Genomic DNA, 23,412 nt, shown 5'->3' on the forward strand with positions numbered 1-23,412 from the left:
TGTTCTGTTCCCCCAGGGACGCTTTGTCCAGGGCCCACCGATCCATCACACATACAAGGCCCAGGGCCCTGGAATGTTTAAGAGCCCACAAAAAAATAGCCTTTTTTTTTTTTTTTGAGACAGAGTCTCACTCTGTCGCCCAGGCTGGAGGGTAGTGGTGCAATCTTGGCTCACTGCAACCTCCACCTCCCGGGTTCAGGCGATTCTCCTACCTCAGCCTCCCAAGTAGCTGTGATTACAGGCACGTGCCACCACACCCAGCTAATTTTTATATTTTTAGTAAAGATAGGGTTTCACCATGTTGGCCAGGCTGGTCTCGAACATCTGAGCTCAGGTGATCTGCCCGCCTTGGCCTCCCAAAGTGCTGGGATTACAGGCATAAGCCACCACGTCCGGCCACACTGTATGTTTTTGAATGTTAGGAGGGACAGAGGATCCCATATCCAGCATGTACCGGGAGATACAACCCATTTCTCAGATGACAAAACTGAGGCTGAGAAAAGAGAAACAACTTGACCGAGCTCTAGGCTATTGTTCTCTAAAAAACTTTTGTGGGGACAGTGATTTTTTTTTTTAAGAGACAGGGTCTCATTCTGTTGCCCAGGCTGGAGTACAATGATGCAATTGTAGCTCACTGCAGCCTCGAACTTCTGGGCTCACGTGATCTTCCGCCTTCAGCCTCCTGAGTAGCTGGGATTACAGGTGCATGCCACCATACTTAGCCACTTAGCTTTTTTTTTTTAATTTTATTTTTATTTTTTATTTTTGTAGAGATGGGATCCTGCTATGTTGCCCAGGCTGACCTTGAACTCCTGGTCTCAAGTAATCCTCTCATCTCAGCCTCCCAAAGTGCTGGGAGTGCAGACATGAGCCCCCGTTCCCAGCTTGATTTTGTATCTTTTTGATGCTCTGGGCTCTGTGGGGTGTAAGCTATAGATACTTTTCTTTGTAGATAAAGTGCCTGCAACTTACATTTAGTTTCAGGGGGTCCATGAACCCCTCTGAAGCTCACACAGGGGAACAATCCTGGGTCCAGATCAAAGCCTGTGAAATCAGTTTAAATCGTGGCTCAGCCAAGGATCAACCGTGCCTCAGTTTTCCTCCTCCAGCACATCACTATAGAGTGGTGGAAATATTACTGGCTCTCCGAGTCCCAAAAACTAAGGAGGATCCATGCAGGGCCTGGCATATACTGGGTTTTCAATAAACAGTTTTCTTCTCCCCTGTCAGCCTGATGCTCCACAAACTCTCAAACACACACACACACACACACACACACGTGTGAGCATGAGCCTGAAAAAACACAGCTGGCCATTTCATTGATAGATTGACTTTTGTTATTATTATCTTTAGTAGAGACAAATTCTCACTATGTTGCCCAGGCTGGTCTTGAACCCCTGGGCTCAAGCAATCCTCCTGCCTCGGCCTCCCAAAGTGCTGGGATTACAGGTGTGAGCCACCGCGCCTGGCCAAGCTGGCCATTTTATTTATTTATTTATTTATTTGTTGTTATTATTATTATTATTATTATTATTATTATTATTATTTGAGACAGAGTGTTGCTCTGTTGCCCAGGCTGGAGTACAGTGGCGCAATCTTGGCTCACTGTAACCTCTGCCTCCCGGGTTCAAGCAATTCTCCTGCCTCAGCCTCCCGAGTAGCTGGGGTTATAGGCACCCGCCACCACGTCCAGCTAATTTTTGTATTTTTAGTAGAGACAGAATTTTACCATGTTTGTCAAGCTGGTCTCAAACTCTTGAGCTCAAGCGATCCTCCTGCTTCGGCCTCCCAAAGTGCTGGGATGATGGGCATGAGTCACCGCGCCTAGCCAAGCTGGCCATTTTGGACTCAAGACCTTCACATTTATTCCTGAGGAAAGGGAAAAAAAAAAAAAAAAGAAGGAAAACTCCCTCTCACTACACATAGTTTCAAAAACTGCCCTTTCAGTGGAAAAGTTTTTTACGTCTTAAGAAAAACCTGATTGTTTAAAGTCAGGTCTGCAGTAAACGGGCGGCTATTTTTAAGTGCTTGGGGACATATGTCTGCAACCCATGGAAAGAAGAGAAGCCGTTTGTCTTGGGAGCTTGTCCAGAATGACTGGAGTGACGTGGAGTGCGGGGTTGGAGGTGGGAGTGGGGGGGACACGAGCTGTCAGCCTGCCAGAAGCACAAAAAAACTCCCAAAATATTCCAGAACATTCCTTCTCGAGTCGTCAGAAATCATACTATCCGGGCCGCGCCTCAAAGTTCCCACTCAGCAAGCAGTTGTTTTCCGTTTCATTTTCCCTCTTCTTTTTTTTTTCCCCTCAAATCACATTTGTTTTTCCACAATCGAAGGCGCTCACACACATCTCGCCCTGAAATTCAGACACACTGTTCTCACCTAGAATTGTAAACAGCAACCTCTCCACCCCCTCCCGTGGCCGGGTGTTTGGGTGATGCTGGAAAAATCTTCTAAAGGCAGGGAGAAAAAAAGGGAGTTTTCCAAAAATCGACACAGGGCTTACGTTACACAGAGTTTATGCAATCAGCCCCTGGAAACAACTAGACGGGCCTCCCCAGCTGCAGAGGCTCTGAGTAGCAATAAAGTCGTGAGAAGGGAAAGTCAGCCTTTGGCAAGAATCCCCGACTCCCCCATGAAAGTGATAAGGGCGGTGTGGACCGCAGCTGGGAGGCCAACTGCGTATTTGAAATATGTTGGCAAGGCCAGGTTCTCGTAAAGCATCACAGAGGTCCTGTGGAATAGATTCCTCCAGCCTGAGACCCTGGCGCACCCTTGGGTCACTGGTGGTGTGCCAGGATTTTATTTACTTATTTGCTTGCTCGTGTGTTAATTTTTTTAGAGACAAGGTCTTGCTGTGTCACCCAGGCTGGAGTGCAGTGGTGCAATCATAACTCACTGCAGCTTCAACCCCCCAGGCTCAAGGGATCCTCCCACCCTCAGCCTCCTAAGTAGGCACATGCCACCCGGCTCAGCTAAGTTTTGTTGTTTTTGTTTTTGTTTTAAGTTTTTGTAGAGATGGGGGGAGGGGTTTTGCTATGTTGCCCAGGCTGGTCTAGAACGCCTGGCCTTACGTGATCCTCCCACCTCGGCCTTCCGAAGTACTGAGATGACAGGTGTGAGCCACCACACCAAGCCTCAACAGGAGGGTGTAGACACTTTCTAGCAGCATCTCCTCCACCCTCCTAGGGCCCTTGGGGGCTCTATTTGGTTCCTAATGTCTTCTCCCATTTTGCAGAAAACAAAACCCAAAGTGCAGAGAGAGGAGGTGGAATGTGATTCAGGGATAAACCACACAGAGAAAGCCTAAAGTGAAATCTGTCTGCTGCCACGGGATTTCCCTTAAAGATCCCTGTCCCTCGGCCGGGCGCAGTGGTTCATGCCTGTAATCCCAGCACTTTGGGAGGCCGAGGCGGGCGGATTACTGGAAGTCAAAAGTTCGAGACCAGCCTGGCCAACATGGCGAAACCCCGTCTCTACTAAAAATACAAGAATTAGCCGGGCATGGTGGCGAGTGCCTGTAATCCCAGCTACTCAGGAGGCTGAGGCCGAAGAATCGCTTGAACCCGGGAGGCAGACGTTGCAATGAGCCAAGATCGCACCACTGCACTCCAGCCTGGGCAAAGAGGGAAACTCTGTCTCAAAAAAAAAAAAAAAAGGAAAAAGAAAAAGAACAAGAACAAGCACCGACTACATGCAGAACATGAAGGAACTGAGTGGACGTGATGCTGAACAATGAAAACGGGCCAGCCATGGTGGCTCACACCTATAATCCCAGCATTTTGGGAGGCTGAGGCAGGAGGATCTCCTGGGCCCAGGAGTTCAAGACTAGCCTAGGCAACACAGTGAGACCTCGTCTCTACAAAAAATTTAAAAGTAGGGCAGGAGGATCACTTGAGCCCGGGAGGTCGAGGCTGCAATGAGCTGTGATTGCACCAACTGCACTCCTGCTTGGGCGAGAGGAGTGAGACCCCAACTCGAAAAAAAAAAAAAAAAAAGAGGAGGGGGAGGGGGAGGGGGAGGAGGAGGAGCATCACTGTGATTCCACTTTAGGGAAATTAGGCAAAACTCCTCTCCAGCGACAGAGCTTGGAGTTGCGCGGAGAGGGAGGCTTTGCAGGCACTAGACATTCCTGTGTCTGGATCCAGGGAACTGATCCTGCCAGCAGAATCCAGCGTGTACACTCGAGATGATCGCGCTGTGCGGCATGCAGTTCTGTCTTCATTGGAAAAGATCAAGGCTGGGTGTGGTGGCTCACGCCTGTAATCCCACCACTTTGGGAGGCCAAGGCCAGTGGATCACTTGAACCCAGGAGTTAGAGACCAGCCTGGACAACATAGTGAAACCCCGTCTCTACCAAAAATACAAAAAATTAGCCGGGCGTGGTGGCGAATGCCTGTAGTCCAAGCTACTTGAGGGGGTGAGGTGGGAGACTTCTTTTTTTTTTTGAGACGGAGTCTTGCTCTGTTGCCCAGGCTGGAGTGCAATGGCGCAATCTCGGCTCACTGCAACCTCCTCCTCCTGGGTTCAAGTGATTCTCCTACCTAAGCCTTCCGTGTAGCTGGGACTACAGGTGCCCACCACCACGCCTGGCTAATTTTTTGTATTTTTAGTAGAGACAGGGTTTCACTGTGTTGGCCAGGATGGTCTTGATCTCCTGACCTCGTGATCCGCCTGCCTCAGCCTCCCAAAATGCTGGGATTACAGGTGTGAACCATCGCGCCTGGCCGAGAATTTCTTGAACCTGGGAGGTGGAGGTTGCAGTGAGCTGAGATCACGCCACTGCACTCCAGCGTGGGCGACAGAGTGAGACTCTGTCTTAAATTTAAAAAAGAAAAGATCAAACAGGCATTTATTGAGCACCTGTTGCATGCCAGACCCTAAAAAGGCAACGAGGACAGAGACCCCCGCCACTCTGGACCAGGAGGCCAAGTGGAGGAGACGCAAACCAAGTAAGATGCTGCTGCAGAAACTTCCAGCCACGGTCGATCCATGCAGGTGGTTGGAATCCCAGAAGCCCCATGCCCCAGAGAACCCCTGCTGTGTCTGGAAAGAAAAACCAATCAGTTCTGACTCTGGCTGTGCAGCAGGGTAAGCAGAGGGAGTCCACAGACGAGGGATAAGGCTCTGTCCTGGTCTCAAAGATCAAGGAGGAGTGGATGGTGGTAGAAAGAGGTCCCAGCGCGTGATTTGATTGGACCAGTGTTCACAGGGCCACTTCCCAGTCCAGGATGAGCAGGTGTGAAAATGCAGCCTCCAGCCTGTGCAGTGGCTCATGCCTGTAATCCCAACACTTTGGGAGGCTGAGGCTGGCTGATCACCTGAGGTCAGGAGTTCGAGACCAGCCTGACCAACATGGAGAAACGCCATCTCTACTAAAATTACAAAATTAGCCGGGCGTGGTGGCACATGCCTGTAATCCCAGCTCCTTGGGAGGCTGAAGCAGGAGAATCGCTTGAACCCGGGAGGCAGAGGTTGCGGTGAGCCGAGATGGCACCATTGCACACCAGCCTGGGCAATAAGAGCGAAACTTCTTCTCAAAAAAAAAGAAAAAGAATAGAAAATGCAGCCTCCGTGACTTGCCCGAGGTCCCCAAGCTGGGACAAAATGGGATACATCTCAGCAGCCAGGTTTGTCCCCAAAGGGGGCTGTAAAACCTCGTGGGAACCCACAGGGACCCGCCCCTTGAAGGTGGTGATGGTCCCCACTGCCTGCTGGCTTCGCTGGTGACTCAGTACCCACCAGGCCAAGGTGTGTCTGGGAGCTGCCTCTCTGGACGGCCACCCCACCTTTTGTACATGGCCTCTTGGTGCCTGGGACACAGTGAGTCACAAGACAAAGCCGTCAGATTGTCTGGGGCAAAACCCTTTGTGGCAACAGATGGACAAGCCTGGTAAATGGCCCGGGCAGCTGGGCAGCCAGCGCTTTGTAAAACCTTTCCAAGTGGTCCTCTTTGAACCTGATGAGGACAAAAGCCAATGGCCAATCATCTCTGAAAGTCCTCAAAAGTGCACAGACATACCCTTCTTTGTGCATGGGGACAGAAGACTTTCAACGTGAATGCGATTCCTTCATTCTGTCCCGGTGAGCCTCACTTATTTGGGGCATCAAGTATCCCAGCCTGGAAGACAAATTGTTTCACCTTCACCATGAATGGTGTGTGTGTGTGTGTGTGTGTGTGTGTGTGTGTGTGTGTGTGTGTGTGTGTGTGTTTGAGATGGAGTCTCATTCTGTCACCCAGGCTGGAGTGCAGTGGTGCGATCTCAGTTCTCTGCAACCTCTGCCTCCCCAGTTCAGGCGATTCTTGTTCCTTAGACTCCCAAGTAGCTGGGACTACAGGTGCCCACCACCACGGCCGACTAATTTTTGTATTTTTAGTAGATACAGGGTTTCACTATGTTGGCTGGGCTGGTCTCGAACTCCTGACCTTGTGATCCACCCGCCCCAGCCTCCCAAAGTGCTGGGATTACAGGTGTGAGCCACCACGCCCAGCCCATTGTCTCTATTTGGAAGGAATGAGCAGCATGTTGCCCCTGACGAGGAGAAAGGGAGAGACAGGCCCACAGCCTCCTCACCCCCACCCAGTTCCACCCACCGGTCACCTGAGCAATCCTCTCATCTTGGCCCAAAACCAACCAGGGGCAGGGAATGAGGCTGCGTTCAGTGCAGGCAGAACTCTAAGAGGCTCCCAAGATTCCAGGCAGTCTGCGTACACACCTGCTATAATCCCGTAAGTCTGGGTGTGACTAGTGAGTCAGTGAGGGTGTCACTTCCTTGATAAGGTGACATTTTAAGGCAAAGGTGAGAAAACCTTACCAATATAATTAAGGTCCAAAATAATTTGATTTTGAGTTCATCAAATGGGAGCTTACCTTGGGTGGGCCTGACCTAATCAGGAGAGTGCTTTGAAAGAGGATCTAATGGTAATTTTTTTTTCAACCATCAATTTTGCTCCTGAGTCTAATGGCAAATTTTATGTTATGTATATTTAACCACAATTTAATTTTTTTTTGAGACGGAGTTTCATTCGTGTTGCCCAGACTAGAGTGCAATGGCGTGTGCAGTCTTGGCTCACTGCAACCTCCATCTCCCAGGTTCAAGCAATTCACCTGCCTCAGCCTCCCAAGTAGCTGGGATTACAGGCATGCACCACCATGCCCAGCTAATTTTGTATTTTTAGTAGAGACGGGGTTTCTCCATGTTGGGCAGGCTGGTCTCAAACTCCCGATCTCAGGTGATCTGCCCACCTTGGCCTTCCAAAGTTCTGGGATTACAGGTGTGAGCCACCATGCCCAGTCCTTAAAATTTTTAATTTAAAAAAAAAAACCGTGATGGCAAGTGAAAACAACCAAAGCGTCCACCAACAGATGAATGGATACACAAAATATAGTGTAGCCATAGAGTGGAATATTATTCAGCCAGGAAAAAGGAATAAAATTCTGATTCATGCTACACTGTGGTTGAAGCTTGAGGACATTATGCTAAGTGAAATGAGCCCATCACAAAAAGACAACTACTGTCTGATTTCACTTATAGGAGGTCTCTAGAGTGGTCACACTTATAGAGACAGGAAGTAGAATGGTGGGTACGAGGGGCTAGAGGAGAAGGAATGGGGAGTTTGGGTCTAATAGGGACAGAGTTTCAGTTTGGGATGATAAAGAAGTTCTGGAAATAGAAAGTGACAATGGTGGCCAGGCACGGTGGCTCATGCCTGGAATCTCAGCGCTTTGGGAGGCTGAGAGGGGCAGATCGCTTGAGCCCACGAGTTCAAGACCAGCCTGGGCAGCATGGTGAAACCCCATCTCTACAAGAAATTTAAAAATTAGGCAGGTGGTGGTACATGCTTGTAGTCCCTGCTACTCAAGAGGCTGAGGTGGGAGGATCACTGGAGCCTGGGAGGGTCGAGGCTGCAGTGAGCCAAGATTGCACCACTGCACTCCAGCCTGGGTGACAGAGTGAGATCCTGTCTCAAAAAATAAAAAGTGGCAATCGTTACACAACATCATGAATAAACTTAATGCCACTGAATTGTACACTTAAAAAGAGTTAAGATGAGGCCAGGTGCTCACGCCTGTAATCCCAACACTTTGGGAGGCCAAGTAGGGGTGTGGATTGCTTGAGGCCAGGAGTTTGAGACCAGCCTGGGCAACATGGCAAAACCCCGTCTCTACAAAAAAATACAAAAATTAGCCAGGCATGGTGGTGCACACCTGTAATCCCAGCTACTCGGGAGGCTGAGGGATGAGAATCACTTGAACCCAAGAGGTGGAGGTTACAGTGAGCCGAGATCACTCCATTGCACTCCAGCCTGGGCGACAGAGTGAGACTCTGACTCAAAAAAAAAAAAAAATGGTTAAGATGAATTTTAATAAATGTTATGTATGTTATTTTACCATTCAGGGGGTTGTCTTTGTTTTGTTTTAGAGACAGGGTCTCACTATGTTGCCTGGGCTGGAGCACAGTGGCACTGTACCGTACAGGACACCCTGTGATATGGTTCGTAGTCTCCAGGGGGGGAGAGAAGAATGACATTACTCCCAATATCGTGGGGAGTGTCCACCCCCCTGTGATATTGTTCATAATATCCAGTCCCCCCTCAATATTACACACGGTATCACGGGGAAGTGTACACACCCTACACACCCCCTGCGATATTGAGGGTACTATCATCTTGTCACTTCCTGGGCTCAGTGGCTCACACCTGTAATCCCAGTATTTTGAGAGGTGGAGGCAAGGGAATCACTTGAAGTCCAGGAGTTCAGGACCAACCAGGGCAACATGGAGTGCCCTCTGCCCTCCCCACCAAAAAATAAAAATAAATTAGCTAGGTGTGGTTGCTAATTATTAATATTATGTGTGATATCACAGGGGGGTGTACACACTCCCTGTAACATTGGGGGTACCATCATTCTGTCCCCCCTTTGATATGACGCACAATATCACTTGAGGGTGTACACACCCCCTACAATATTGGGAATACTATCATCCTGTCCTCCCCTGGATATTATGACCAGTATCACAGAGGGGTGTACATGCCCCCTGCGATATTGGGGGTACTATCATCCTGTCCCCCCCTGTATATTATGACTGGTATTATGGGGGGTGTACACGCCCCCTGCGATATTGGGGGTACTATCATCCTGTCCCCCCCGTATGACTGGTATTACAGGGGGGTGTACACGCCCCCTGCGATATTGGAAGTACTATCATCCTGTCCCCCCATCTATATTATGACTGGTATTACAGGGGGGTGTACACGCCCCCCGCGATATTGGGGATACTATCATCCTGTCCCCCCTGTATATTATGACTGGTATTACAGGGGGGTGTACACGCCCTCTGCGATATTGGGGGTACCATCATCCTGTCACGCCCTGTATATTATGACTGCTATTACAGGGGGTGTACACGCCCCCTGCGATATTGGGGGTACTATCATCCTGTCATGCCCTGTATATTATGACTGGTATTACAGGGGGTGTACACGCCCCCTGCGATATTGGGGATACTATCATCCTGTCCCACCCTGTATATTATTACAGGGGCGTGTACACACCCCAGTGACATTGGAGGTGTGATCATCCTGTCCCCCTTTGTATATTACACGTGCCATCACAGGGGGTGTACACAGTGGCATCACAGCTCACTGCAGCCTGGATCTCCCGCCTCAGCCCCCCAAGTAGCTGGGACTACAGGCGTGAGCAACCACACCTAGCTAATTTATTTTTATTTTTTGGTGGGGTGGGCAGAGGGCACTCTATGTTGCCCAGGCTGGTCCCAAACTCCTGGTCTTCAAGTGATTCCCCTGCCTCCCTCTCCCAAAATACTGGGATAACAGGCGCGAGCCACTGAGCCCAGCTCACCTTAATTTTTTTGTTGTTGTTTAAAACAAAAATCAATGCATACAGGCTGGGTACTAGTTATTTGGACAACTAGTCTCAAACTCCTGGGCTTTAGCCTGTAATCCCAAAACCCCATCTCTACAAAAAATACCAATAAAATTGGCCAGGTGTGGTGGTGCACAAATGTATTCCCAACTACTCGGGAGGCTGAGGTGGGAGGATCGCTTGAGCCTAGGAGGCCGACGTTGCATTGAACCAGATCACGCCATTGCCCTTCAGCCTGGGCAACAGAGAGAGAGGAGACTCCGTCTTAAAAAAAAAAAACAACAACAACAACAAAAAAAACGGCTGAGCACGGCCGCTCACGCCTGTAATCCCAGCACTTTGCGAGGCTGAGGCGAGCGGATCGCCTGAGGTCAGGAGTTAGAAATCAGCCTGGCCAACATAGTGAAACCCTGTCTCCACTAAAAATACAAAAAAATTAGCTGGATGTGGTGGCAGGCACTCCCAGCTACTCGGGAGGCTGAGGCAGGAGAATCGCTTGAACCCAGGAGGCGGAGGTTGCAGTGAGCCGAGATCGCACCACTGCACTCCAGCCTGGGCAACAAGAATGAAACTCCATCTCAAAAAATAAAAAAATAAAGCCAGGCTCAGTGGCTCACAACACCTCTAAGCCCAGCACTTTGGGAGGCCGAGGCGGGTGGATCACCTGAAGTCAGGAGTTCGAGACCAACCTGGCCAACATGGTGAAACTCCATCTCTACTAAAAATATAAAAATTAGCCAGGCATGGTGGCCTATGCTGTAATCCCAGCTACTCAGGAGGCTGAGACAAGAGAATCCCTTGAACCCGGGAGGCAGAGGTTGCAGTAAGCCGAGATGGTGCCACTATACTCCAGCCTGGGCGACAGACCAAGAAGACTCTGCCTCAAAAAAAAAAAAAAAAAAAAAAACAACAACAATGGGAAGCCTCTGAAACTCCCCTTCCCCAGGGGTCTCCGGGGGTCTCCACACTCCTCGGCTGAGTCAGCCTTCCTCCTGCAAACAGCCCAGGGTTCACCAAGTGTACAAGGCTGTCGTGGGCCCCATGCCCCTTCTCGCCACAGGCTTGTGCAGGCACGGGGCCGTCCCCGCTTGATTGCTAGGGGTTTAGCCAATATTTTCTTACGGGGCGCCCTTGCTGGGACACAGGTGCAAGTGTGACATCGTGGGCTGTGAGTCAGGCCTTGGCACTCCTTGCACGGCCGGCCGGCATGAGTCAGGCTGCATTTGCCCACTGTTCCTGTCTTTTCTCTTGTTCTGAACACCGCATGTGCCAGGCCTTCTGTGGGTCATCAGTCATTATTTTGGGTATGCAGCGCAGATCACTCAGGGACAGACTTCTCTGGGTCAGGGGAGCTGGGACTTTACTTATCAAATTGCAAATGTCCAACATACCCCATGCAGAACCAGTGACACGGAGAGAGGTTTCCATCCCAGGGCTGGGGTCGGGGAGGGTGTCGAACACCCAGTACAGCCCCCAGGGTTTCCTAGAAATGCAAATCACAGCTCTGAAGTGCAGCCTGGCCTCTTATGGTTAGACACAGGTTCACACCTGAGAAAGCTTGGCAACGTCTAGAGACATTTTTGGTCCTCACGACTCGGGGAGGCGCGTCGGGGGAATGCTATTAATTGTGGGTTTTGCCATTAAAAAAAAAGTAATGGCAAGGGCCAGGCGCGGTAGCTCACGCCTGTAACCCAGCACTTTGGGAGGCCGAGGCGGGTGGATCACCTGAGGTCAGGAGTTCTAGACCAGCCTGGCCAGTATGGTGAAACCCTGTCCCTACTAAAAATACAAAAATCATGGCCGGGCGCGGTGGCTCACGCCTGTAATCCCAGCACTTTGGGAAGCTGAGGCAGGTCGATCACGAGGTCAGGAGATCGAGACCATCCTGGCGAACACTGTGAAACCCCGTCTCTACTAAAAATACAAAAAAAATTAGCCAGGTGTGGTGGCGGGCGCCTATAGTCCCAGCTACTCCGGAGGCTGAGGCAGGAGAATGGCATGAACCCAGGGGGCGGAGCTTGCAGTGAGCGGAGATCACGCCACTGCACTCCAGCCTGGGCAACAGAGCGAGACACCATCTCAAAAAAAAAAAAAAAAAGTACGAAAATCAGCCAAGCATGATGCCGCGCACCTGTCATCCCAGCCACTGGGGAGGCTGAGGCAGGAGAATCGCTTGAACCCAGGAGGCGGAGGTTGCAGTGAGCCGAGACTGCAGCACTGCACTCCAGCCTGGGCGACGGCATAAGATTCCATCTCAAAAAATAATAATAATAATAATGGCAAGAACGGCAATGACTTTTGCACCAACCTAATAGTATCTGGTGGGTGCAGGCCAGGGATGCTACAATGCACGGGATGGCCTCTGCCACACAGATAATCCGGCCTCAAGTGCTGAAGTTGGGAAATCCTGCTTACCAGCCCCTGAAGAGTCCATTTCTCATCTCATGCCGGCTTACCCCCTACCACCTTTTTTTTTTTTTTTTTTGAGACAGTCTGGCTCTGTCCCCCAGGCTGGAGTGCAGTGGCACAGTCTTGGCTCACTGCAACCTCCGCCTCCCTGGTTCAAGTGATTCTCCTGCCTCAGCCTCCTGAGTAGCTGGGATTACAGGCGCGCACCACCACGCCCAGCTAATTTTTGTATTTTTAGTAGAGACGGGGTTTCGCCATGTTGGCCAGGCTGGTCTCGAACTCCTGACCTCAGGTGATCTGCCTGCCTAGAGCTCCCAAAGTGCTGGTATTACAGGTGTGAGCCACCGCGCCTGGCCTAAATAATTTTAAAATAGGTCAGTTGACAGTCTTCAGGCGGCAAGTTAGAGAAACACATGCAGGCAGATGCATGCTTGTTTGAGGCTGTAAAGTGTCCACATTGGGAAACTGGGGAGAAGATAGGAGAACTATGTAGGGGCTCTAGGTTCTGCAGCTGGCAATATTCTTCTATGTCCACTTCCTCCCATTAAAATTCGGCCTCCAGCCAAGTGGCCAGTGTCTGGGATATGTTATTGTGTCTGGCTCTGAGGAACTGGAACTCCTTCCAGTTCTTGAAGATACTTGGGGAGGGAAGATGCTTGGGGAGCATTTGTTTGGCTCCCCAGCCATAATGCACAGTATTGGCATGACTGGGGGTATGGATGGGGACACTGGGCATCCCCGATATGATGTGATGAGGAGGGCATGCTCCCGTCTTCTTCCCCAAACCCCACAATTCCTGTCTAACCACAAGAAAATGTCAAACACAGATTGGGGTACACTTGGATGCCCTGGGGGGGGACCGGCCAGCACTCTTTAAGACTGCCAAAGTCAGCCAGGCACGGTGGCTCATGCCTATAATCCCAGAATTTTGGGAGGCTAAGGCAGGTTGATCACCTGAGGGCAGGAGTTCAAGACCAGCCTGACCAACAGATGAATCCCCCTCCCTACTAAAACACACAAAAAAGTAGGTGGGTATGGTGGGTGGGCGCCTGTAATCCCAGCTACTCGGGAGGCTGAGGCATGAGAATCACTTGAGCCCAAGAGGCAGAGGCAGAGGTTGCAGTGAGCTGAGATGGTGCCACTGCATTCCAGCCTGGGCAAGAAGAGCGAAACTCCATCTCAGAAAAAAAAAAAAAAAAAGACTGACAAAGTCTCTCACACCTGTAATCCCAGCACTTCAGGAGGCCAAGGCAGGAGGATCACTTGAGTCCAGGAATTCAAGACCAGCCTGGACAACATAGCAAGACCCCATCTGCACAAAAAGTTTAAAAAAATACCCAAGCATATGGCACACACCTATGGTCCCTGCTACTCAGGAGGCTGAGGTGGAAAAATCACTTGAGCCCAGGAGCTTGAGGCTGCAGTGAGCTGCGATCAAGTTACTGCACTTCAGCCTGAGCAACAGAGTGAGAGCCTGTCTAAAAAAAAAAAAAAAAAAAAAAAAAAAAAAAAACGGGCCAAGCACAATGGCTCAGGTCTGTAATCCCAGTACTTTTCAAGGCTGAGGCGGGCAGATCACTGGAGGTCAGGAATTTGAGACCAGCCTGGCCAACACGGTGAAACCCCATCTCTACTAAAAATACAAAAATTAGCCGAGTGTGGTTGTGGATGCCTGTAATCCCAGCTACTCGGGAGGCTGAGGTGGGAGAATCGGTTGAACCCAGGAGGCGGAGGTTGCAGTGAGCTGAGATTGCGCCACTGCACTGCAGCCTGGGCAACAAGAGTGAAACTCCGTCTAAAAAAAAAAAAAAAGAAAAAAAAAAACAACAAGAGATTGAACACTGCTGAGGTCATGAAAAACAAGGAAAGACTAAGAAACCATCACAGACCAGAGGAGATCAGGGAGGAACGGGGGCTAAATAAGGTGAAGGATCCTGGAAGAGAGGGAGGACATTTGTGGGAACATTGGTGACATCCACATAGAATGTCTGGAGTTTAGTTGATAGCATCATTGTCCCAGCATTAATTTCTTAGTTTCACCAAATGTACTGAGGTAGGGAAAGATGTCAACATCAGAGGAAGCTGGTGGAAGGGGACATGGGAGTGCTGCATAGCCTCTTTGCAACTTTCCTGCCATTAAACTGATTCCAAAATAAAACACTTATAAGACGTTTATTTTACAACTCATGCCAGGTGCAGTGGCTCACACCTGTAATCCCAATGCTTTGGGAGGCCAAGGCAAGAGGACTCCTTGAGTTCAGGAGTTTGAGTCCAGCCTGGGCCACACAGCAAAATCACATCTCTACAAAAATTACAAAAATTAGCCGGGAGTGATGGCATGTACCCGTAGTCCCAGCTACTTGAGGGGTCGCGATGGGAGGATCGTTTGAGCCCGGAAGGTCAAGGTTACAGCCTGGGCAACAGAGTGAGACCCTGTCTCAAAAAAAAAAAATAAAAAAAAGTAAGCTAAGAAGGGAGACATAAGCAGCAATATTGGAACTTACCCATACTTAAATAAAAAAATCCTTCCCTATCTGAAATGTATTTATTTATGATTATTTTTTAGACAGGGCCTCACTCTGTTGCCTAGGCTGGAGTGCAGTGGTGTGACCATGGCTCATTGCAGCCTTGACCTCCTGGGCTCAAGCAATCCGGCTGAGTAGCTGGGACCACAGGCACGAGCCACCATGCCCGGATAATTTTTTTTTTCTTTTTTTGAGATGGAGTTTTGCTTTTGTTGCCCAGGCTGCAGTGCAATGGCACGATCTTGGCTCACCGCAACCTCCACCTCCCGGGTTCAAACGATTGTCCTGCCTCAGTCTCCCTAGTAGCTGGGATTACAGGCAGATGCCACGACGCCCAGCTAATTTTTATATTTTTAGTAGAGATAGGGTTTCACCATGTTGGTCAGGCTGGTTTCGAACTCCTGACCTCAGGCAATCCACCTGCCTCGGCCTCCCAAAGTGCTGGGATTACAGTCATGAGCCACCATGCCCGGCCTCCCGGATAATTTTTAAAAAATTTTTTGTGGCTAGGCGCAGGGCTCACGCCTGTAGTTTTAACACTTTAGGAGGCCGAGGTAGATGGATCACCTGAGGTCAGGAGTTCGAGAACAGCCCGGCCAGCATGGTGAAACCCCGCCCCGCCTCTACTAAAAATACAAAAATTAGCAAGGCGTGGTGGTGGGCGCCTATACTCCCAGCTACTCGGGAGGCTGAGGCAGCAGAATCGCTTGAACCCGGGAGGTGGAGGTTGCAGTGAGTCGAGATTGCACCACTTCACTCCAACCTCGGCGACAGAGACTGTATCAAAAAAAAAAAAATTTTGTTGAGATAAGGTCTTGCTGTGCTTCCCAGACCGGTCTCAAACTCCTGGGCTCAAGCGATCCACTCGCCTTGGCCTCCCAGAGTGCTGGGATTCCAGGCACGAGCCACTGCACCTGGCCTCTATCTGAAATTTACATTTAAGTGGGGGGTCCTGTGTTTCAGCCCAAAACTCTAGTCTAGGCGGTAGAAAGGACCCAGTGGGCTGGGGGTGGGGCCCAGAGTCAGCACCCGGCTCTGGATCTGGCACCTGGGTGGCAGGGGTTCCATTAACTGAGGTGGGAAACAGAGGCCGGAGTGGAGGGGGGATAATGAGCTCATTTTACAGCAGCTGCTAATGGCTCTTAATAATGATGGTGATGACGATAATTGCACCTCCCCCACAGCATAAATCTTGCTCCACCCGGGCTGGTTTTGGACTCCTCTGGCTCCTTACCCGGCCTGGGAACCTGAGGGGCATCGAGCCAGACTCACGCCCGCGTCCCCCGCCACGCCTAGCCCTGGTGTGGAACTGCACAGATGCCCCCACTGTCCCCTCCCGCCGTCCCGAGTTCCCTGGGGTTGCTATTAAGAAACCTGTGACCTGGAAGCTCCCTCCTGGCTTCAAGTCTTCCTGCCTTTGCTTCGAGTCGTCCTGCCTTTCAACACTGAACCAATGTAGTTCTTACATATATTGACTGATGTCTCCTGTCTCCCTAAATGTCCAAGACTAAGCTGTGCCCCGACCACCTTGGACACATGTCATCAGGACCTCCTGAGTCTGTGTCATGGACGGGCATCCCCAACCTTGGCAAAATAAACTTTTTCTTTTTTTTTTTTTTGAGACAGAGTCTCTGTCTGTCACCCAGGCTAGAGTGCAGTGGCACGATCTCGGCTCACTGCAACCTCTGGCTCCTGGGTTCAAGTGATTCTTCTGCCTCAGCTTCCCGAGTAGCTGGGATGACAGGCACCCAGCTAATTTTTGTATTTTTAGTAGAAACGGGGTTTCACCATGTTGGTCAGGCTGGTCTCGAACTCCTGACCTCAGGTGATCCGCCCGCCTCGGCCTCTCCAAGTGCTGGGATTACAGGCATGAGCCACCATGCCCGGCCGCAAAATAAACTTGCTAAATTAACTAAGAACTGTCTCAAATTTTCGGGGTTCACAGTGGCTTCCAACAACGGAAACGTGTTCTCTCACAGTCCTGGAGGTCCCAAGTCGAAGGCTGACAGGTGAGTTTCTTCTGGGGACCTTGAAGGAGGGGAGGGACAGGGGGCTAAGGTGACTCCCAAGGTGGCAGGTGGATCGTAGTCCCAGCTACTCAGGAGGCTGAGACAGGAGAATCACTTGAACCTGGCAGGCGGAGGTTGAAATGAGCCGAGGTCACGCCACTGCACTCCAGCCTGGGCAACAGAGCAAGACTCCATCAAAAAAAAAAAAAAGTGTCAGAGGAATGCAAACAAATCCTTACACACACACACACACACACACACACACACACTCACAATAGCCCCAAGGTGGAAGCAAATCAAGTGTCCATCAACAGGCAAATGGACCGAAACAATGTGGTCCATCCACAATATGGAATATTATTCAGCCATGAAAAGGAAGCACTGACCCATGCTTCAGCATGGATGAACCCCGAAAACACGATGCTGAGAGAAGCCAGACACAAAGGCCACATAGCGTGAGATTCCATCTGAGTGAAATGCCCAGAATAGGCAACTCCATACAGCCAGGAAGCAGATGGGTGGTTGCCAGGGACTGGGGAAGGGGAATGGGGAGTGACTGCTGATGGGGACAGGGTCTCCTTTTGTGGGGATGAAGATGTCCTGGGACTAGTCAGAGGTAGTGGCTGCACAACACTGGGAATGCGCTAAATGCCACCAAATTGTACATTTAAAAATGGCTACCTTTGGCCGGGCCTGGTGGCTCACCTCTGTAATCCCAGCACTTTGGGAGGCAAAGGTGGGAGGATCACTTGAGCCCAGGAGTTTGAGACCAGCCTGGGCAACATGGTGAGACCCATCTCTACAAAACATTTAAAAATTAGCCAGGCATAGTGGCACGCGCCTGTAGTCCCAACTACTTAGAAGGTTGAGGTGGGACGATTGCTTGAGCCTGGGAGGTCGAGGCGAGCTATGATCACACCACTGCATTCCAGTCTGGGCAAGAGGCGAGACCCCCCATCTCTAAAAATATAAAATAAAATTGGCCGGGCAAAGTGGCTCATGCCTATAATTGCCAACACTTTGGGAGGCTGAGGCGGGTGAATCACCTGAGGTCAGGAGTTTGAAACCAGCCTGGCCAACATGGTGAAACCCCGTCTCTACTAAAAATCCAAAAGTTAGCCAGGCGTGGTGGCAGGCGCCTGTAATTCCAGCTACTCAGGAGGCTGAGGCAGGAGAATCACTTGAACCCGGGAGATGGAGGTTGCAGTGAGCCAAGATCATGCCACTGCACTCGGGCCTGGGTGACAGAGTGAGATTCCGCCTCAAAAAATAAAATAAAATTTAAAAATGGCTAACTTTATGTTATGTGAATTCCACCTCAATTTTTTAAAAAATGAAAATGCGAAACAAATGGAAAGAGAAGATATTTACACTCCATTTTCCAAGGAAATTGTTACAGGCACCCAGAAACACCCAGTCACCTAAAAGATGTGGAATTTTACAAATACACTTCAAGCATGTTAAATGGAGTCCTTCGGTGACTTACCCCTTCCGTGTAAGATTTACCTCTTACATGAAGAGTTTCTCTTCATGATAGCTGTCATTATTAATAATATATAATGACATAATTGCTTAACAACATCATTATGATTTTCCACCCCAATTATGAGGCTGAAGGGCATCAGGCTGAAGCACTGAAATTACAAGGCAAGTCAGAAGTCTGCTCCCACAAAAAGAGCTCCCCAGGATCCCAAAATGTGGGGCTCAAACTCAACCACTGTCCCCCTGGCCCTGGGCCTCCCCACTCTCCCCATCAAAATGGACCCATTCCTGCTCCAGGCACCAATTCTGCTGAACACAGAAGACACAGGAAGCCATCTGCTTCCTGGCTGTATGGAGTTGCCTGTTCTGGGCATTTCACACAGATGGAATCTCACACTACGTGGCCTTTGTGTCTGGCTTCTCTCAACATCATGTTTTTGGGGTTCATCCATGCTGTAGCATGGGTCAGTGCTTCCTTCCTTTTCATGGCTGAATAATATTCTATACTGTGCATGGACCACATTGTGTTGATCCGTTTGCCTGTGGATGGACACTTGATTTGCTTCCACTTTGGGGCTATTGTGAGTGTGTGCGTGTGTGTGTGTGTGTATAAGGATTTGTTTGCATTCCTCTGACACTTTTTTTTTTTTTTGATGGAGTCTCGCTCTGTTGCCCAGGCTGGAGTGCAGTGGCGTGACCTCGGCTCATTTCAACCTCCGCCTCCCAGGTTCAAGTGATTCGCCTGTCTCAGCCTCCTGAGTAGCTGGGACTACAGGCGCCCACCACTACACCTGGCTAATTTTTGTATTTTTAGTAGAGATGGGCTTTCACCATATTGGCCAGGCTGGTCTTGAACTCCTGACCTCAGGTGATCCACCTGCCTCAGCCTCCCAAAGTGCTGGGATTACAGGCATGACCCACTGTGACCGGCCATTTTTTTTTTTTTTAAATAGGGTCTCACTCTGTCACCCAGGCTGGAGTGCAATGGCGTTATGAGAAGGGAAGTGTGCCAGCCACCTCTGGTGGGCAGAGCATGTCAGGGAGTCCAAAAGGGCTGATCAAAGAGATGGCTTTGCCAGACACAATGGCTCATGCCTGCAGTCCCAGCACTTTGGGAGCCTGGGGTGAGATAACTTGCTTGAGGCCAGGAGATCAAGGCTGCAGTAAGTTGTGATCATGCCACTGTACTCCAGGATGCTGTCTCTACATAAATAAATAATAAATTATACTGTCCTCCAGCCTGGGTGACAAGAGCAAGACGCTGTCTATAAATACATAAATAAATAAATTACACGTGGTGGCTCATGCCTGTAATCCCAGCACTTCGGGAGGCCGAGGCAGGCAAATCATCTGAGGTCAGGAGTTCGAGACCAACCTGGCCAAACCCAGTCTCTACTAAAAATACAAAAAAAATCAGACGGGCGTGGTGGCAGGCACCTGTAATCCCAGCTACTCAGGAGGCTGAGGCAGGAGAATCGCTTGAACCCGGGAGGCGGAGGTTGCAGTGAGCCAAGGTCGTGCCATTGCACTCCAGCCTGGCGGCAGAGAGAGACTCTGCCTCAAAAAAAAAAAAAAACTAATAAATTTTATGATGTGTAAATGATATCTCAATAAATCTGTAAGAACTAAATGAAACAAAAGAGAAAAAGGAGTCCCTAGCCCAGATATATGGCAAAGAAAGAAAGAAAAAAAAAGGCCGGGTGAGGTGGCTCTTGCCTGTAATCTCAGCACTTTTGGGAGGTGGAGGCGGGTAGATCACTTGAGCCCAGGAGTTCCAGACCAGCCTGGGCAACATGGAGAAACCCTGTCTCTACTAATAAGACAAAAAAAAAAAAATAGCCAGGCGTGGTGGCTGCCACCTGTAGTCCCAGCTACTCGGGAGGCTGAAGTGGGAGGATGGCTTGAGCCTGGAAAATCAAGGCTGCAGTGAGCTGAGATCGCACCACTACACTCCAGCCAGGGCAACAGAGCAAGACCTTGTCTCAAAAGAAAAGAAAAAAGAAATCACTCTGAAGTTAGCACTCGTAAATCAGACATTTACAACCACGTACTTAAAATGTCCCAGATGCTAGTGATGTTCATACCGCTGACATTAACAGTCCAGATTCGCCACTCTCCTGGACGTGACCCCTCGGCCTTCAAGTTTCTGCTTAAAAGGTTGATTGTTCGTTTGTTTGTTTGTTTGAGACAGAATCTCACTCTGTCACCAGGCTGGAGTGCAGTGGCGTGATCTCGGCTCACTGCAACCTCTACCTCTCAGGTTCAAGCGATTCTCCTGCCTCAGACTCCTGAGTAGCTGGGACTACAGGCGCATGCCACCACGCCCAGCTGATTTTTGTATTTTTAGTAGAGACAGGGTTTCACCATGTTGGCCAGGATGGTGTCGATCTCCTGACCTCATGATTTGCCCGCCTCAGCCTCCCAAAGTGCTGGGATTACAGCCGTAAGCCACTGCACCCAGCCTTAAAAGGTTTCTTCCGGGCCGGGCGCAGTGGCTCATGCCTGTAATCCGAGCACTTTGGGAGGCCAAGACGGGCAGATCACGAGGTCAGGAGATCGAGACCATCCTGGCTAACACGGTGAAACCCCCTCTCTACTAAAAATACAAAAAATTAGCCGGGCGTGGTGGCGGGCGCCTGTAGTCCCAGCTACTCGGGAGGCTGAAGCAGGAGAATGGTGTGAACCCGGGAGGCGGAGCTTGCAGTGAGCCGAGATTGTGCCACCGCACTCCAGCCTGGGCGACAGAGCGAGACTCTGTCTCAAAAAAAAAAAAAAAAGTTTTTTTCTGCCTGCCTCCCCTCCAATCCAAGCCAGAGCCCTGTTATCCTGCCCTGAGCACTCCCCACTTTTCCCTCAGCCTTCCCATCCGCCTGTGACTCTGTGTTGCTTGGATAGAGCTTCAGTTAACCCTCAGGCTCCTCCCTGTCTGGAAGCTCCATGAGGGCAAAGACTGGCCCATTCTGGTAGACAGCTCACACTCCAGCACCTGCCCAATAAGAAGTATTCCTTAGCCAGGCATGGTGGCTCACACCCAGCACTTTGGGAGGCCAAGGCAGGAGGATCATTTGAGACCAGGAGTTGGAGACCAGCCTGGGCAGCATAGGGAGACCCTGTCTCTACAAACAAAATAAAAAATTAGCAGGGTTTGGTGGCATGCACCTGTAGTCCCAGCTACTCAGGAGGCTGAAGCAGGAGGATCACTTAAGCCCGGGAGTTTGAGGCTGCAGTGAGTTATGACTGCACCACTGCACTCTAGCCTGGGCAATAGAACAAGATCCTGTCTCAACAACAACAACAAAAGAGTGTTCATCAGTGTCTATTAAACGCATACTGAGGCCAGGCACGGTGTTTCACACCTGTAATCCCAGTACTTTGGGAGCCTGAGGTGGGCAGATCACCTGAGGTCAGGAGTTCGAGACCAGCCTGGTCAACATGGTGAAACCTTGTCTCTACTAAAAATACAAAAATTAGCCAGGCATGGTGGCACACTCCTGTAGTCCCAGCTACTCGGGAGGCTAAGGCACAAGAATTGCTTGAACCGGGAGGTGGAGGTTGCCGTGAGCCAAGATTGCGCCACTGCACTCCAGCCTGGGCAACAGAGAAAGACTCCATCTCAAAAAAAAAAAAAAAAAAAAAAAAAAAGCATACTGAGAGGCAGCGATAGTCTGGGAATTCAGTCCAGACTCTGGAGTTGAACATAGCTCTGCTGGCTTCTCCCTGTGCTTGAAGCTAACGTCTCTAAGCTTTGGCCAGAGTCAAGATTTTCTGCCTTGTGGGCCACGTGGTCCCTTTCAAAATGACTCAACTCTGTCGTCATCCCAGGAAAGTAGCCATTGCCAGGCGCAGTGGCTCATGCCTGTAATCCCGACACTTTAGAAGGCCAAGGCAGGATAGGATCTCTTCAGGCAAGGAGTTCGAAACCAGTATGGACAACACAGACCCTGTCTCTACAAAAAATCAGCCGAGCGTGGTAGCCCACGCCTGTAGTTCCAAGCTACTTGGGAGGCTGAGGTGGGAGGATCAACTGAGCTCAGGAGGTCAAGGCTGCAGTGAGCTGTGATCGTGCCACTGCACTCCAGCCTGGAAGACAGAGCCAGACCCTGTCTCAAAAAGAAAAAAAGTAGCTATAGATGATGGATCTATGAATGGGTATCACTGACAGTAAGATGTATTTATGCACACTGAAATTTGATTTTCATATAATGTTTGTGTTTCACGAAGTACTATTCTTTTTTTTCCAACCATTCATAAATGTAAATCCATGCTTAGCTCATGGGCCAAATGAAAGCTGCAGTGCCCACATATTATATGATTCCATTCATATAAAAATGTTGGCTGGTGCAGTGGCTCACGCTTGTAATCCCACCACTCTGGGAGGCCGAGGCGGGCAGATCACCTGAGGTCAGGAGTTGGAGACCAGCCTGACCAACACAGTGAAACCCTGTCTCTACAAAAAATACAAAAGTTAGCCAACATGGAGAAACCCTGTCTCTAGTAAAAATACAAAATTAGCCGGGTGTGGTGGCAGGTGCCTGTAATCCCAGCTACTCAGGAGGTTGAGACAAGAGAATCGCTTGAACCCGGAGGCAGAGGTTGCAGTAAGCCGAGATCGCGCCATTGCACTCCAGCCTGGGCAACAGAGCCAGACTCCGTCTCAAGGAAAAAAAAAAAAAAAAAAGCCTAGAACAGGCAAATCCATAGAGACAGGAAGCAGATTGGTGGTTGCCAGGGGCTGGGGGAGGGGAGTGGGGAGTGACTGCTGATGGGGACAGGGTTTTCTTTGGCGGCGACAGAAATGTTCTGCAGCCAGACAGAGGTGACATTCGCAGAGCACTGAATGTAGCAAATGCCACTGAATTGTGCACTTTAAAATAGTGAATTTCAGCTGGGCGCAGTGGCTCACGCCTGTAATCCCAGCACTTTGGGAGGCCGAGGCTGGTGGATCACCTGAGGTTGAGAGTTCGAGACCACCCTGACTAACACGGTGAAACCCCATCTCTACAAAAAATACAAAAGTTAGCCAGGTGGAGTGGCGCACGTCTGTAATCCCAGCTACTTGGGAGGCTGAGACAGAAGAATCACTTGAACCTGGGAGATGGA

General features: G+C 50.1%; 1 long non-coding RNA gene across 1 annotated transcript in view, besides 2 other annotated features; it reads right to left on the reverse strand.

The window, feature by feature from the left end:
• The window catches only part of KLF2-DT (KLF2 divergent transcript), a 41,312-nt gene that overhangs the window by 7,743 nt on the left and 10,157 nt on the right, over positions 1-23,412 (reverse strand). The gene's annotated exons all lie outside the window — the stretch shown is intronic.
• Positions 11,075-11,134: an enhancer, noted in NCBI's record as "active region_14220". NCBI's record gives its function as "activates an Ori minimal core promoter by ATAC-STARR-seq in GM12878 lymphoblastoid cells {active_cell/tissue: GM12878}" and the evidence as "EXISTENCE:reporter gene assay evidence [ECO:0000049][PMID:35858748]".
• Positions 11,335-11,404: a silencer, noted in NCBI's record as "silent region_10293". NCBI's record gives its function as "represses an Ori minimal core promoter by ATAC-STARR-seq in GM12878 lymphoblastoid cells {active_cell/tissue: GM12878}" and the evidence as "EXISTENCE:reporter gene assay evidence [ECO:0000049][PMID:35858748]".

This window comes from Homo sapiens, chromosome 19 (assembly GCF_000001405.40).
Source record: "Homo sapiens chromosome 19, GRCh38.p14 Primary Assembly".
NCBI lineage: Eukaryota > Metazoa > Chordata > Mammalia > Primates > Hominidae > Homo > Homo sapiens.